Below are 13,676 nucleotides of genomic sequence, written 5' to 3'. Positions count from 1 at the left end.
CCAAAATTACTGGAGGAACTTAAAAATGTCTGAGCCCACCCCATTACCTTGGCCATGGATCATGTCTTATATCTCTCTAGATAAATCGGAAGTGCAGCCTGTCCATACCAATCTACAGGACAGCGTTTAAAAGCCTCTTCACTCTGAGCTAACAGCCTTCATGCCATTCAGGGGTGGGTTGAATAAGGGAAGCAATAGTCATGTGGTTAGCATCCTCTTCAGGGATCCTCCAGATAGTTATTGGGCGAACTATGTTTTGTCTAGTATGTGAGCTGGAAGATTTCAACACTAATTCTATGACAGTGTAATTGTCTTGTTATTGAAGGCTATTTAACTTTTTCAAGTTAAAATGTGTTAAAGAACAATGAGCAAATGTAAAACAAAGGAGGTCAGATTGTACTTTGCCAGGATGTGTCCACTTGTTGCCTTGATGGAGCTGCAGCTGTAGTTATAGATCTGCTTTTGAGCCTGCTTAGTATTTGCATTGTAGACTGGTTGCTCACAATCTTCCTAGGACTGATTCTCACCTTTGAGTGTCTGCAATTTAGTATTAACAGATTAGTTGAGATAACATATCAAATTGAGCAGTCCCATAATGCTTTTATTTTACTGACATGAAAGAAGCGGGTATATGTATTGGAAAATTCGCTTTTAGACTTCTGAAATCATTTAAGCATGGACAAAGGAAGCTACTCTACTAGGGCACAAAACAGAAATTAGGCTAAATGAGCCCTAGCCAGCATTATCCTAAAAGGAAAGGAAATAGGAGTCTGTGGCCTAATTGGAGTAGAAGGCTTAAAAGTATCAGCTGAAAAACAATTGGTAAATAAGCAGTAACCTGAGGCTCTACAGTCTGGTCATACCTGAAGTGCTCAAATTAGAAGAATGTGAAGGTTTGAGGAAGGTACACAGAAATTGTGAGTCTCATATAATGCTGGGGGAAGTATAAATTGGTACAATACTTTGAGAGAGGATTCGGAGGACAAATATGTAACAAATCTTTAAAAGGTATGTAAATTTGCATCCAGCAATTCCACTCCTTAGAATATATGCACGTATGTGTGAAACTGTATGTATGCAAAGTTGTTCAACATGGTGTTGTTTAAATTAGCAAAATACTGAAAACAACTCAAGTGTCCAATAATAAAAATGCTTAAATGAATTACGCATATAGGTATGTGTGCCTTTATATATGTATGTGTCTATGTAAAAATGTGTAGTGTGTATTATATATGTGAATGAGTACAGTGAAATTGACACCAGTGTCAAATTTGGCGTATTTCCATGGAAAGCACATTTCATTAAAAAGCCAATTACAGATTGGCTTTTTATAAAACCTGTCACTATTTTATTATAAAACCTGTCACTATTTTATTATAAAAAGTAATGTAAAACATGTCACTATTTTATTATAAAAAGTAATGTAACCAAAAAATATAATTACAGGAAAAACTGTGGGAAAATAAACAGAAAATTATAATTTTTATATAGATGTTATAAGAATGCAAGTAATTTTCATTTCATTTACATAATTATGAACATGGATTTCATGTTTCTGCCCAGTGGGGTCTGTTTTCAGATTAGACCCATTCTGAAGATAAATCACCTCACCAAAAGCCAGAAAATACCATCCTTTCCTTAGATGGGAAAAGCAAGTTTCTTGAGCCCCTTCCCATTTTGACAGAGTTGTAACTGAAGTGCTTGTAAGGCCAGATTGTATGACAATTCCATGAGCTTCCTGGTTCCCTTACTGTACAAACCCTCCACCCACTCTCCCTTAAAATAACTCATGCCTTTTGAGACAGCATGAGGGGGTGACTCTGTTTCTTATACCAGAAAAAAGAGCCCGACTCAAGAACAATGACTGACCTCCAGAGCAGTTGTAAGGTCCACATGAGGTTATGTTGTCTAAGCTCCTAGTAGCACATAACACACAACAGGCTTTCAATAAATATTACTTACTGTTATCCCATCTCCTTAAAAATTTTAAAGGGATTTTGCTCATTAGAGTTATATAGTCTGGGTCAACATTTACTTAACAAATCTCTAATCCTTGCCTCATATATCAAGGACCTGAACTAATATTATTCTTTTTTTCTTTAAGAGAAAGACTATATTTCAGGAAATACTATATCCAAGTATTGCTGTAGATATAGGTGTACATTTGGAAGCCATCTGAAGTCTAGATTTTTGAAAGTGGTGTCATATCACTCTTTAAAAGTAGATAGGCATTATAATTCAGTATCTGAAGACTGCTTGCCTCTACTCTAAAATATTTTCTAAGAGTCTCAGTATATGACATAGGAGTATGTTTAGATTGATTATAAGATTTTTTTAAATTTAAAATAATTACCAAATTGTTTTACATCAGCCATTAAAGCTCACAAAAACCAAACATCTTTATAGACAATCTCTCATCAAATGAGAACAGTTATAAAATAAGCTAGATATCTGTCTGAATCCCCTTATGTGACAACAGTAAGTGTCCAATGGTTGGAGACAGTCAGATCTATGATCAAGTAACAGCTGTGCAATGTATTTGTTCCATAACCTTAAGCAAATTTACTTAGCCTCCCCAAATCTCAGTTTTCTGGGAATATCAATGCCTCATCTTTTGAGAGTATAAGGATGAGAGATAAAGAATGTAAAGTGTTGGACACAATGCTAGGAAGTGTAAATGCTCAATGGTAGCTAGTATTATTATGATTGAAACAAAGTTTATTTAAAGAACCTTACTGAGAAACCTTTATAAGATTTTTCTGGAAATTAAGAAGGCACTCATGAAGAAAGATATTTATTCCAAGTAACTATCTATCACATAAACAGATTTATTTGGAATACTACAAAGGAAAATATCCCTTAATTTTCCACCCAATATTACCTAACACACACATGCACAATTCCATCATGACTACTCCCCCTTAGCAGTCTTTTCATTTTTCCAGAGCAAAAGTAGGACATAAAGTTCCTTCTCATGAACCAGAAGTTAGAGGTCATCATCAGTTCATTTGGAAAAATATCCATCAGTGTTTATACACACACAGACCCACACACACAAACACACATTTACTCCTATGTATATTTTAACTATAAATTAGTAAAGACCTAGATTTTAATAGTTAGCTAACATAAATGAATGAGGTAGTGGGGAAGCCCAACCACTTATGACCACAAGACTCATATCTCTCTCTTACCCTATTAAGGGACTGTTATAAGTCCCTGATGGACTTGTCTGACAAACACATTCCACAGTCATACAAATCATTCATTCTGGAAGAGAGAAAGAGAGAGAGGAAGGAGGAGGGGGGAAGGAGAAAGAAACGAGGAAAGAAAGGAAGACTTCACGTGTGGGGCATGTACGTGGGGTGGGCTGGAAAGCTAGGTGAGTTTTGGAAAGCCTATTTTTTGCCCACCCAGAGCTTGCCCAGACTTGCCCTAAGGCTGTGTTGCAAAATGGGTAATGATTTCTCTGCCAGGTCTGTTATTGGAATGAGTAAACTCTCAGACCTAACATTTTTTTTTTCTTGGCCATCTTACTCCTTCAACACAAACATCTGAGGCTGTGGTGGTTTTAAAAAGCATCCCAAAGTTCCTGTTTTTTATTTCTCAATTTCTTGATGTTTACTATCCAGTTCAAGAGCTACTGACCTCTGCCTCACCCAGCACTAACCCTGTGGATTTTAAGTCCTTATGCTTGGAGAACCACTGCTCCAAGCACAACTAGCCTCCATTCAGAGTCTAGAAATTAGGATCAATAACCTATGCAAATTCAGCACCATATTGAGAGATTCTTCTGGAGCAGGTATTTTATCATTTGAGGAATCCTTGTGTTTGGAGAACCCTTGTGATCAAGAGAAAAAATGGTTCTGACCAGCCATTTTAGTTGAATTGATTCTTGGATGCAGGAACAGGATAAGTTAAGGTCTGAAAGGACTGGTTGTACCAAGGAGGCCATGAGTAGATAGATAATAGTTGACTAGCTCACACAAATATATGGAGAGTGGTGATTCTAAAAAAGTATAAACACTTAAAATCAAGAAATGTTATAGCTAGACATCTAATTGGTTCCTTTCATTTACATATTTACAGGCAGAATTGAGGTTCAGAGATATTAACTAACTTTTCCAAGGGTTTGAGCAGAGACTGAAATGAGCTTTGTTTACAGGCCAGTGTAACCAAGGAGGTTACACAAATTAATAAAGATTTAATATCGGGATTTAAATTTCCCATAAACTAAAGAGTACCACTGTGGGATAGAAGAACTGCAGTTACTAGAAAGGTGCATGATAAAATGTAAAAGACAACTCTCCAGGTTCTACCAAAGTTGGGATAAATATTCCTTAAGGCCTTTGTCACTATTCATAGTTCACCAGGGAGCTTTCTGATTATAAACTGAAATTCCTAAATTCTCTGAGTTTAGAATTGGAATACTCTGATGACAGAAAAGACTATTTTAATCAGCAAAGACTGCTTATTTGAACTAAGTTGATAAAGTTGAGTTTCTAAAATCACTTACTGAGGACTTTGAATTCATGAAAAACTATCCAAGATGGTCAATATCCCTTATTCTTTTTTTTCCTCTTTGCAGAACATTACTAAACATTTCCTATTATGTAGCTATTTTATAATGAGGTAAAAATAATAGTTATTAATAAATAACAAACATCACTATAATAGAGTGGAATAGAATGTAGTTGTGATATATTCAGCCAATAAAAATATATTATAATCAACTATAAAGATGGTTCCTAGGGATTTAAATGTTCATGTTACAACTTATTAGCATACTTCTTAAATAAAAAAATAAAAGTTTTAAGATGTGAAGAAGTATCAAGTTCATTTTTTACCTTCTACTATACTCAAAACAGACCCTTTGTTTTCTCTCACAGGTACCAGCAAGGGTTACTCTGTTGCTGCCCTGAGATCTTGGTATGAGACAGCCAAACCGAGTCAGATGACTGTTCTGTTAAAATAAGGGTTTCAAGACTGTAGATTCATGAGATGGGGATTCAGTGAAGGAAAACATTCCCATCTCTGTTACAGGAAAGTTATAATGGCGTTGAACTATTTGGAAGAAAAGAGAAAAGAAGACAAAGAAGCAATCTTGCTTAATCACAACAAATGTTCTATTAAACACTATGTAAAAACAAACTATAATAGCAATAATATTAGTCAATTTGGGAGCTTTTTAACAAATGAACATTCTTTTTTAAGACTGTAAGTTCTATGTAAAATAATATAATGCAGAACAGAGACTAGAATATTTCATAAAACAGAAGGACTTTCAGGACTTTTTTTTTTTTTCCAAAAGGAAGATATGCCAGGAAAATCTTTATACAATTAAATAGTCTATGTTCGTCATGTCTAAAGGCATGGAAAAGACCCAAAAGCTATTTTTTTTTATTACTTGGAGTCAGAGTATTTGGTACCGTACACGTTTAGTGAATATACTTGCATGGAACATAACTCATCTTTGAGAATATCATCATAGTGGTATGGACTTGCCTGACATTTAGAGAGTCATATACTTTTCTGTCCAAGGAATAGTCTTAAATATCAAAATTACCAAATGAGTACAAAACAATGTCTGCCTGACTGGGTTTTTTGTTCCCTCAAAGAATAGACAATTGTGTCAGTTGGACTTTTTTATGATTAATGGGGTAATGATGGTCCTGTTTAATACCTTTTCCTGAGATAATCTGGGTAGAAGCTCATGACCCTGCAAATTCTAAATTTAATTTTCAGTTTGGGTTACCCAGAATTCACTAGAGTAAGCTTTTGTGATACGAAAAGAAGAGATACAAGTTCTTTTCTCTGAAGAGTTCTCATATAATCATGCTTTTAAAAAAAGAATTTATTGCCACAGAAGTTAGAAGTAGAAGATTTCCACTCTATAGGGAAATAAGTCAGTCCTAGAATAATGTAGGCCCATACCCATTGATCTTCATACTCTTCCTCAACCATACCATCTTGGGCAGTTTTTATTAAGGCATACGAAATGGCCTGATCACTTTTCAGTTTTCTTACTATCCTGTTCTCTTATGAGATAAATCATTTTGACATAGAAAAAAGCAAGATATAAAATTTAAAAATGAAACTGGATTTGAGCTAATTAGCCTCTTAAAATTATAAGTTCAGATTCCTAAACACTATAAAAGGGAGTAGTACATTTAGGTATTTTTTTAAAAAGACTATGCATGTAAACATGAAATAATTAATATGTAAGTGATTCTTTTAAAGGTAGTAAGTGGTGAGCTTTTGGTTATGGCCAAGTGAGGAGACAAATTCTCTCTGTAAAAAGTAACTATAAAGCTGGATAAAATTGACAAAAACAATCATTTTAGCACTCTGAAAATCAACCAAAGGCATACAACCTGAGAAGTGTTTAGGCTTGAAAAACTGCTGAATATAAGAATAATGAGAACCTGTGGCATTCTAGCCTGAAGCTACTCACATATCTGCCCTCCCTTCCTCCTCACTTCAGTAAGGACAGAGGTTTTATAGAAGGAGGCCAGGCCATGAGGACAGGCAGCTTCTCTGTCACGATCCATGAGAGCTCACTCAATCTGGAGTGATGAGAAATGACCACTCCCAGCAGCATATTTGGTAAAAGTGCTGATCTCTGAGGTGGGTAAACAGGGAAAGCCAACTGCTCTACTAGTCTGAGGCTGTAGTCACAGTTGGAGAATACTTCTCTGGCTGTGTATATTTCCTGGAGAAGGCCCGAGCTAGTCACTCAATCCCGGCTACCCCTGAATTTGTTTGCATAAAAGAGATAAGAAAAGGTCCAGTGGTCAGTAAAAGCTGGAGCTTGAGTCAGCTTGAAAGCACCTGAACTCTGAGTGAGCTCCCCTACCACACAGAGATCCTTTGGCAAAAGACAGAAACTTCATTGGCTCAAGTGTTTCAGCACAACCTCTATCCAATCACTAAGCCATACTGGCATGGGAAAACCTTTAGGAATCCAGGTTTAGAGGTGTGTATGTATGTATATGGGTGTGTGTGTGTAGATATATGTATATATGTATACATATCCATTTTATATTAGTGTATATAAATATTGATATATATGTATATGTATGTGTATATATATATTTTGGTTATACTTTATGTTCTAGGGTACATGAGAACAACGTGCAGGTTTGTTACATATGTATACATGTGCCATGTTGGTTTGCTGCACCTGTTAACTCATCATTTACATTAGGTATATCTCCTAATGCTATCCCTCCCCCCTCCACCCACCCCACCCTGGTGTGTGATGTTCCCCACCCTGTGTCCAAGTGTTCTCATTGTTCAATTCCCACCTATGAGTGAGAACATGTGGTGTTTGGTTTTCTGTCCTTGAGATAGTTTGCTCAGAATGATGGTTTCCAGCTTCATCCATGTCCCTACAAAGGACATGAACTCATCCTTTTTTATGGCTGCATAGTATTCCATGGTGTATATGTGCCACATGTTCTTAATCCAGTCTATCATTGATGGACATTTGGGTTGGTTCCAAGTCTTTGCTATCGTGAATAATGCCGCAATAAACATACGTGTGCATGTGTCTTTATAGCAGCATGATTTATAATCCTTTGGGTATATACCCAGTAATGGGATGGCTGGGTCAAATGGTATTTCTAGTTCTAGATCCTTGAGGAATCGCCACACTGTCTTCCACAATGGTTGAACTACTTTACAGTCCCACTAACAGTGTAAAAGTATTCCTATTTCTCCACATCCTCTCCAGCACCTGTTGTTTCCTGACTTTTGGGGTTTTTTTTTTGTTTTTTTTTGTTTTTTTTGAGACGGAGTCTCACTCTGTCGCCCAGGCTAGAGTGCAGTGGCACGATCTCGGCTCACTTCAAGCTCCGTCTCCCAGGTTCACGCCATTCTCTTTCCTCAGCCTCCCGAGTAGCTGGGACTACAGGCGCCAGCCACCATGCCTGGCTAATTTTTTTAATTTTTAGTAGACACGGGGTTTCACCGTGTTAGCCAGGATGGTCTTGATCTCCTGACCTCACAATCCACCCGCTTTGGCCTCCCAAAGTGCTGGGATTACAGGCGTGAGCCACCGTGCCCAGCCTGTTTCTTGACTTTTTAATGATTGCCATTCTAACTGGTGTGAGATGGTATCTCATTGTGGTTTTGATTTGCATTTCTCTGATGGCCAGTGATGATGACCATTTTTTAATGTGTCCGTTGGGTGCAAAAATGTCTTCTTTTGAGAAGTGTCTGTTCACATCCTTCACCCACTTTTTGATGGGGTTGTTTGATTTATTTCTCATAAATTTGTTTAAGTTCTTTGTAGATTCTGGATATTAGCCCTTTGTCACATGGGTAGATTGTAAAAATTTTCTCCCATTGTGTAGGTTGCCTGTTAACTCTGATGGTAGTTTCTTTTGCTGTGCAGAAGCTCTTTAGTTTAATTAGATTCCATTTGTCAATTTTGGCTTTTGTTGCCATTGCTTTTGATGTTTTAGTCATGAAGTCCTTGCACATGCCTATGTCCTGAATGGTATTGCCTAGGTTTTCTTCTAGGGTTTTTATGGTTTTAGGTCTAACATTTAAGTCTTTAATCCATCTTGAATTAATTTTTGTATGCGGTGTAAGGAAGGGATCCAGTTTCAGCTTTCTACATATGGCTAGCCAGTTTTCCCAGAACCACTTAATTAAACAGGGAATCTTTTCTCCATTTCTTGTTTTTGTCAGGTTTGTCAAAGATCAGATGGTTGTAGATGTGTGGTATTATTTCTGAGGGCTCTGTTCTGTTCCATTGGTCTATATCTCTGTTTTGGTACCAGTACCATGCTGTTTTGGTACCAGTACCATGCTGTTTTGGTTACTGTAGCCTTGTAGTATAGTTTGAAGTCAGGTAGCATGATGCCTCCAGCTTTGTTCTTTTTGCTTAGGATTGTCTTGGCAATGCGGGCTCTTTTTTTGGTTCCATATGAACTTTAGAGGAGTTTTCTCCAATTCTGTGAAGAAAGTCATTGGTAGCTTGATGGGGATGGCACTGAATCTATAAATTACCTTGGACAGTATGGCCATTTTCAGGATATTGATTCCTCCTATCCATGAGCATGGAATGTTCTTCCATTTGTTTGTGTCCTCTTTTATTTAATTGAGCAGTGGTCTGTAGTTCTCCATAAGAAGTCCTTCACATCCCTTGTAAGTTGGATTCCTAGGTATTTTATTCTCTTTGAAGCAATTGTGAATGGGAGTTCACTCATGATTTTGCTCTCTGTTTGTCTGTTATTGGTGTATAGGAATGCTTGTGATTTTTGCATATTGATTTTGTATCCTGAGACTCTGCTGAAGTTGCTTATCAGCTTAAGGAGATTTTGGGCTGAGATGATGGGGTTTTCTAGATATATAACCATGTCATCTGCAAACAGGGACAATTTGACTTCCTCTTTTCCTAATCCAATACCCTTTATTTCTTTCTCCTGCCTGATTGCCCTGGCCAGAACTTCCAACACTATTTTGAATAGGAGTGGTAAGAGAGGGCGTCTCTGTCTTGTGCTAGTTTTCAAATGGAATGCTTCCAGTTTTTGCCCATTCAGTATGATATTGGCTGTGGGTTTGTCATAAATAGCTCTTATTATTTTGACATACATCCCATCAATACCTAGTTTATTGAAAGTTTTTAGCATGAGGCGCTGTTGAATTTTGTCAAAGGCCTTTTCTGCATCTATTGAGATAATCATGTGGTTTTTGTCTTTGGTTCTGTTTATATGCTGGATTACGTTTATTGATTTGTGTATGTTGAACCAGCCTTGTATCCCAGGGATGAAGCCCATTTGATCATGGTGGATAAGCTTTTTGATGTGCTGCTGGATTCGGTTTGCCAGTATTTTATTGAGGATTTTTGCATCGATGTTCATCAGGGATATTGGTCTAAAATTCTCTTTTTTTGTTGGGCCTCTGCCAGGCTTTGGTATCAGGATGATGCTGGCCTCATAAAATGAGTTAGGGAGGACTCCCACTTTTTCTATTGATTGGAATAGTTTCAGAAGGAATGGTACCAGCTCCTCCTTGTACCTCTGGTAGAATTCGGCTGTGAATCTGTCTGGTCCTGGACTTTTTTTGGTTGGTAGGCTATTAATTATTGCCTCAATTTCAGAGCCTGTTATTGATCTATTCAGGGATTCAACTTCTTCCTAGTTTAGTCTTGGGAGGGTGTATGTGTCCAGGAATTTATCCATTTCTTCTAGATTTTCTAGTTTATTTGCGTAGAGGTGTTTGTAGTATTCTCTGATGGTAGTTTGTATTTCTGTGGGATCGATGGTGATATCCCCTTTATCATTTTTTATTCCATCTATTTGATTCTTCTCTCTTTTCTTCTTTATTAGTCTTGCTAGCAGTCTATCAATTTTGTTGATCTTTTCGAAAAACCTGCTCCTGGATTCATTGATTTTTTGAAGGGTTTTCTGTGTCTCTATCTCCTTCAGTTCTGCTCTGATCTTAGTTATTTCCTGCCTTCTACTAGCTTTTGAATGTGTTTGCTCTTGCTTCTCTAGTTCTTTTAATTGTGATCTTAGGGTGTCAATTTTAGATCTTTCCTGCTTTCTCTTGTGGGCATTTAGTGCTATAAATTTCCCTCTACACACTGCTTTAAATGTGTCCCAGAGATTCTGGTATGTTGTGTCTTTGTTCTCGTTGGTTTCAAAGAACATCTTTATTTCTGCCTTCATTTCGTTATGTACCCAGTAGTCATTCAGGAGCAGGTTATTCAGTTTCCATGTAGTTGAGCAGTTTTAAGTGAGTTTCTTAATCCTGAGTTCTAGTTTGATTGCACTGTGGTCTGAGAGACAGTTTGTTATAATTTCCGTTCTTTTACATTTGCTGAGGAGTGCTTTACTTCCAACTATGTGGTCAATTTTGGAATAAGTGCAATACGGTGCTGAGAAGAATGTATATTCTGTTGATTTGGGGTGAAGAGCTCTGTAGATGTCTATTAGGTCCGCTTGGTGCAGAGCTGAGTTCAATTCCTGGATATCCTTGTTAACTTTCTATCTCATTGATCTGTCGAATGTTGACAGTGGGGTGTTGAAGTCTCCCATTATTATTGTGTGGGAGTCTAAGTCTCTTTGTAGGTCTCTAAGGGCTTGCTTTATGAATCTGGGTGCTCCTGTATTGGGTGCATATATATTTAGGTTAGCTCTTCTTGTTGAATTGATCCATTTACCATTATGTAATGGTCTTCTTTGTCTCTTTTGATTTTGTTGGTTTAAAGTCTGTTTTATCAGAGACTAGGATTGCAAACCCTGCTTTTCTGTCTTCCATTTGCTTGGTAGATTTTCCTCCATCCCTTTATTTTGAGCCTATGTGTGTCTCTGCACATGAGATGGGTCTCCTGAATACAGCACACTGATGGGTCTTGACTCTTTATCCAATTTGCCGGTCTGTGTCTTTTAATTGGAGCATTTAGCCCATTTACATTTAAGGTCAATATTGTTATGTGTGAATTTGATCCTGTCATTATGATGTTAGCTGGTTATTTTGCTCATTAGTTGATGCAGTTTCTTCCTAGCATTGATGATCTTTACAATTTGGCATGTGGCTGATATCGGTTGTTCCTTTCCATGGTTAGTGCTTCCTTCAGGAGCTCTTGTAAGGCAGGCCTGATGGTGACAAAATCTCTCAGCATTTGCTTGTCTGAAAGGATTTTATTTCTCCTTCACTTATGAAGCTTAGTTTGGCTGGATATGAAATTCTGGGTTGAAAATTCTTTTCTTTAAGAATGTTGAATATTGGCCCCCACTGTCTTCTGGCTTGTAGAGTTTCTGCCGAGAGATCCGCTGTTAGTCTGATGGGCTTCTCTTCGTAGGTAACCCAACCTTTCTCTCTGGCTGCCCTTAACATTTTTTCCTTCATTTCAACTTTGGTGAATTTGACAATTATGTGTCTTGGAGTTGCTCTTCAGGAGGAGTATCTTTGTGGCATTCTCCGTATTGCCTGAATTTGAATGTTGGCCTGCCTTGCTAGGTTGGGGAAGTTCTCCTGGATAATATCCTGAAGAGTGTTTTCTAACTTGGTTCCATTCTCCCTGTCACTTTCAGGTATGCCAATCAGATGTAGATTTGGTCTTTCCACATAGTCCCATATTTCTTGGAGGCTTTGTTCGTTTCTTTTTACTCTTTTTTCTCTAAACTTTTCTCACTTCATTTAATTCATTTGATCTTCAATCACTGATACCCTTTCTTCCACTTGATCAAATCGGCTACTGAAGCTTGTGCATGCATCACGTAGTTCTCATGCCATGGCTTTCAGCTCCATCAGGTCATTTAAGGTCTTCTCTACACTGTTTATTCTAGTTAGCCACTCATCTAATCTTTTTTCAAGGTTTTTAGCTTCTTTGTGATGGGTTCAAACACCCTCCTTTAGCTCAGAGAAGTTTGTTATTACCGATCGTCTGAAGCCTTCTTTTCTCAACTCATCAAAGTCATTCTCCATCCAGCTTTGTTCTGTTGCTGGCGAGGAACTGCATTCCTTTGGAGGAGAAGAGGCACTCTGATTTTTAGAATTTTCAGCTTTTCTGCTCTGGTTTCTCCCCATCTTTGTGGTTTTATCTACCCTTGGTCTTTGATGATGGTGATAGTGTGGATGTCCTTTCTGTTTGTTAGTTTTCCTTCTAACAGTCAGGACCCTCAGCTGCAGGTCTGTTGGAGTTTGCTAGAGGTCCACTCCAGACCCTGTTTGCCTGGGTATCACCAGTGGATGCTGCAGAACAGCAAATATTGCAGAATGGCCAATGTTGCTGCCTGATGCTTCCTCTGGAAGCTTTGTCGCAGAGGGGGACCTGGCTGTATGAGGTGTCAGTCAGCCACTACTGTGAGGTGTCTCCCATTTAGGCTACTTGGGGGTCAGGGACCCACTTGAGGAGGCAGTCTGTCCATTCTCAGATCACAAACTCCATGCCGGGAGAACCACTACTGTCTTCAGAGCTTTTGGACAGGGACGTTTAAGTCTGCAGAAGTTTCTGCTGCCTTTTGTTCAGCTATGCCCTGCCCACAGAGGTGGAGTCTACAGAGGCAGGTAGGCCTCCTTGACCTGCAGTGGGCTCTGCCCAGTTTGAGCTTCCTAGTGGCTTTGTTTACCTACTCAAGACTCAGCAATGGCAGACGCCCCTCCCGCAGCCTCACTGCCACCTTGCAGTTCAATCTCAGACTGCTGTGCTAGCAGTGAGTGAGGCTCCGTGGGCGTGGGACCCTCGGAGCCAGGCACAGGATATAATCTCCAGGAGTGCCATTTGCTAAGACCATTGGAAAAGCGCAGTATTAGGGTGGAAGTGTCCCGATTTTCCAGGTACCATCTGTCATGGCTTTCCTTGGCTAGGAAAGGGAATTCCCTGACCCCTTGCGCTTCCCAGGTAAGGCGATGCCCCGCCCTGCTCCGTGGGCTGCATCCACTGTCCAACAAGCCCCAGTGAGATGAACCTGCTACCTCAGTTGGAAATGCAGGAATCACCTGTCTTCTGCATCACTCATGCTGGGAGCTGTAGACTGGAGCTATTCCTATTTGGCCATCTTGGAACCTCTCCTGTATGTATATATTTTAACTGAGCAGAAATATCAGCATGTGCAAATGGCAGAGAAAAAGGTTTTTACAAATTTTGCCCAGGCAAGTTACTTAAAGAAACAAAAAATAGGCCAGGTGCGGTGGCTCATGCCTGTAATCCCAGCACT

At 38.6% G+C, this 13,676-nt stretch overlaps 1 protein-coding gene across 11 annotated transcripts in view, besides 1 other annotated feature; it reads right to left on the bottom strand.

Moving 5' to 3' along the window:
• DSE (dermatan sulfate epimerase) overlaps nucleotides 1-13,676 on the bottom strand; it is a 190,691-nt gene that overhangs the window by 88,645 nt on the left and 88,370 nt on the right. The window contains exon 2 of one of the 11 annotated variants that reach the window (NR_136523.2): nucleotides 401-537. The exons of the other annotated variants lie outside the window; for them this stretch is intronic. The gene's annotated coding sequence lies outside the window, so the exon portion shown is untranslated. The remainder of the gene's footprint in view (nucleotides 1-400; nucleotides 538-13,676) is intronic. 11 annotated transcript variants of the gene reach the window in all.
• Nucleotides 3,380-3,489: an enhancer, noted in NCBI's record as "active region_24986". NCBI's record gives its function as "activates an Ori minimal core promoter by ATAC-STARR-seq in GM12878 lymphoblastoid cells {active_cell/tissue: GM12878}" and the evidence as "EXISTENCE:reporter gene assay evidence [ECO:0000049][PMID:35858748]".

The sequence above is a fragment of the Homo sapiens genome, chromosome 6 (assembly GCF_000001405.40).
Source record: "Homo sapiens chromosome 6, GRCh38.p14 Primary Assembly".
NCBI lineage: Eukaryota > Metazoa > Chordata > Mammalia > Primates > Hominidae > Homo > Homo sapiens.
The sequence above is the reverse complement of the archived record's forward strand: the minus strand, read 5'-3'. Positions and strand labels throughout refer to the sequence as shown.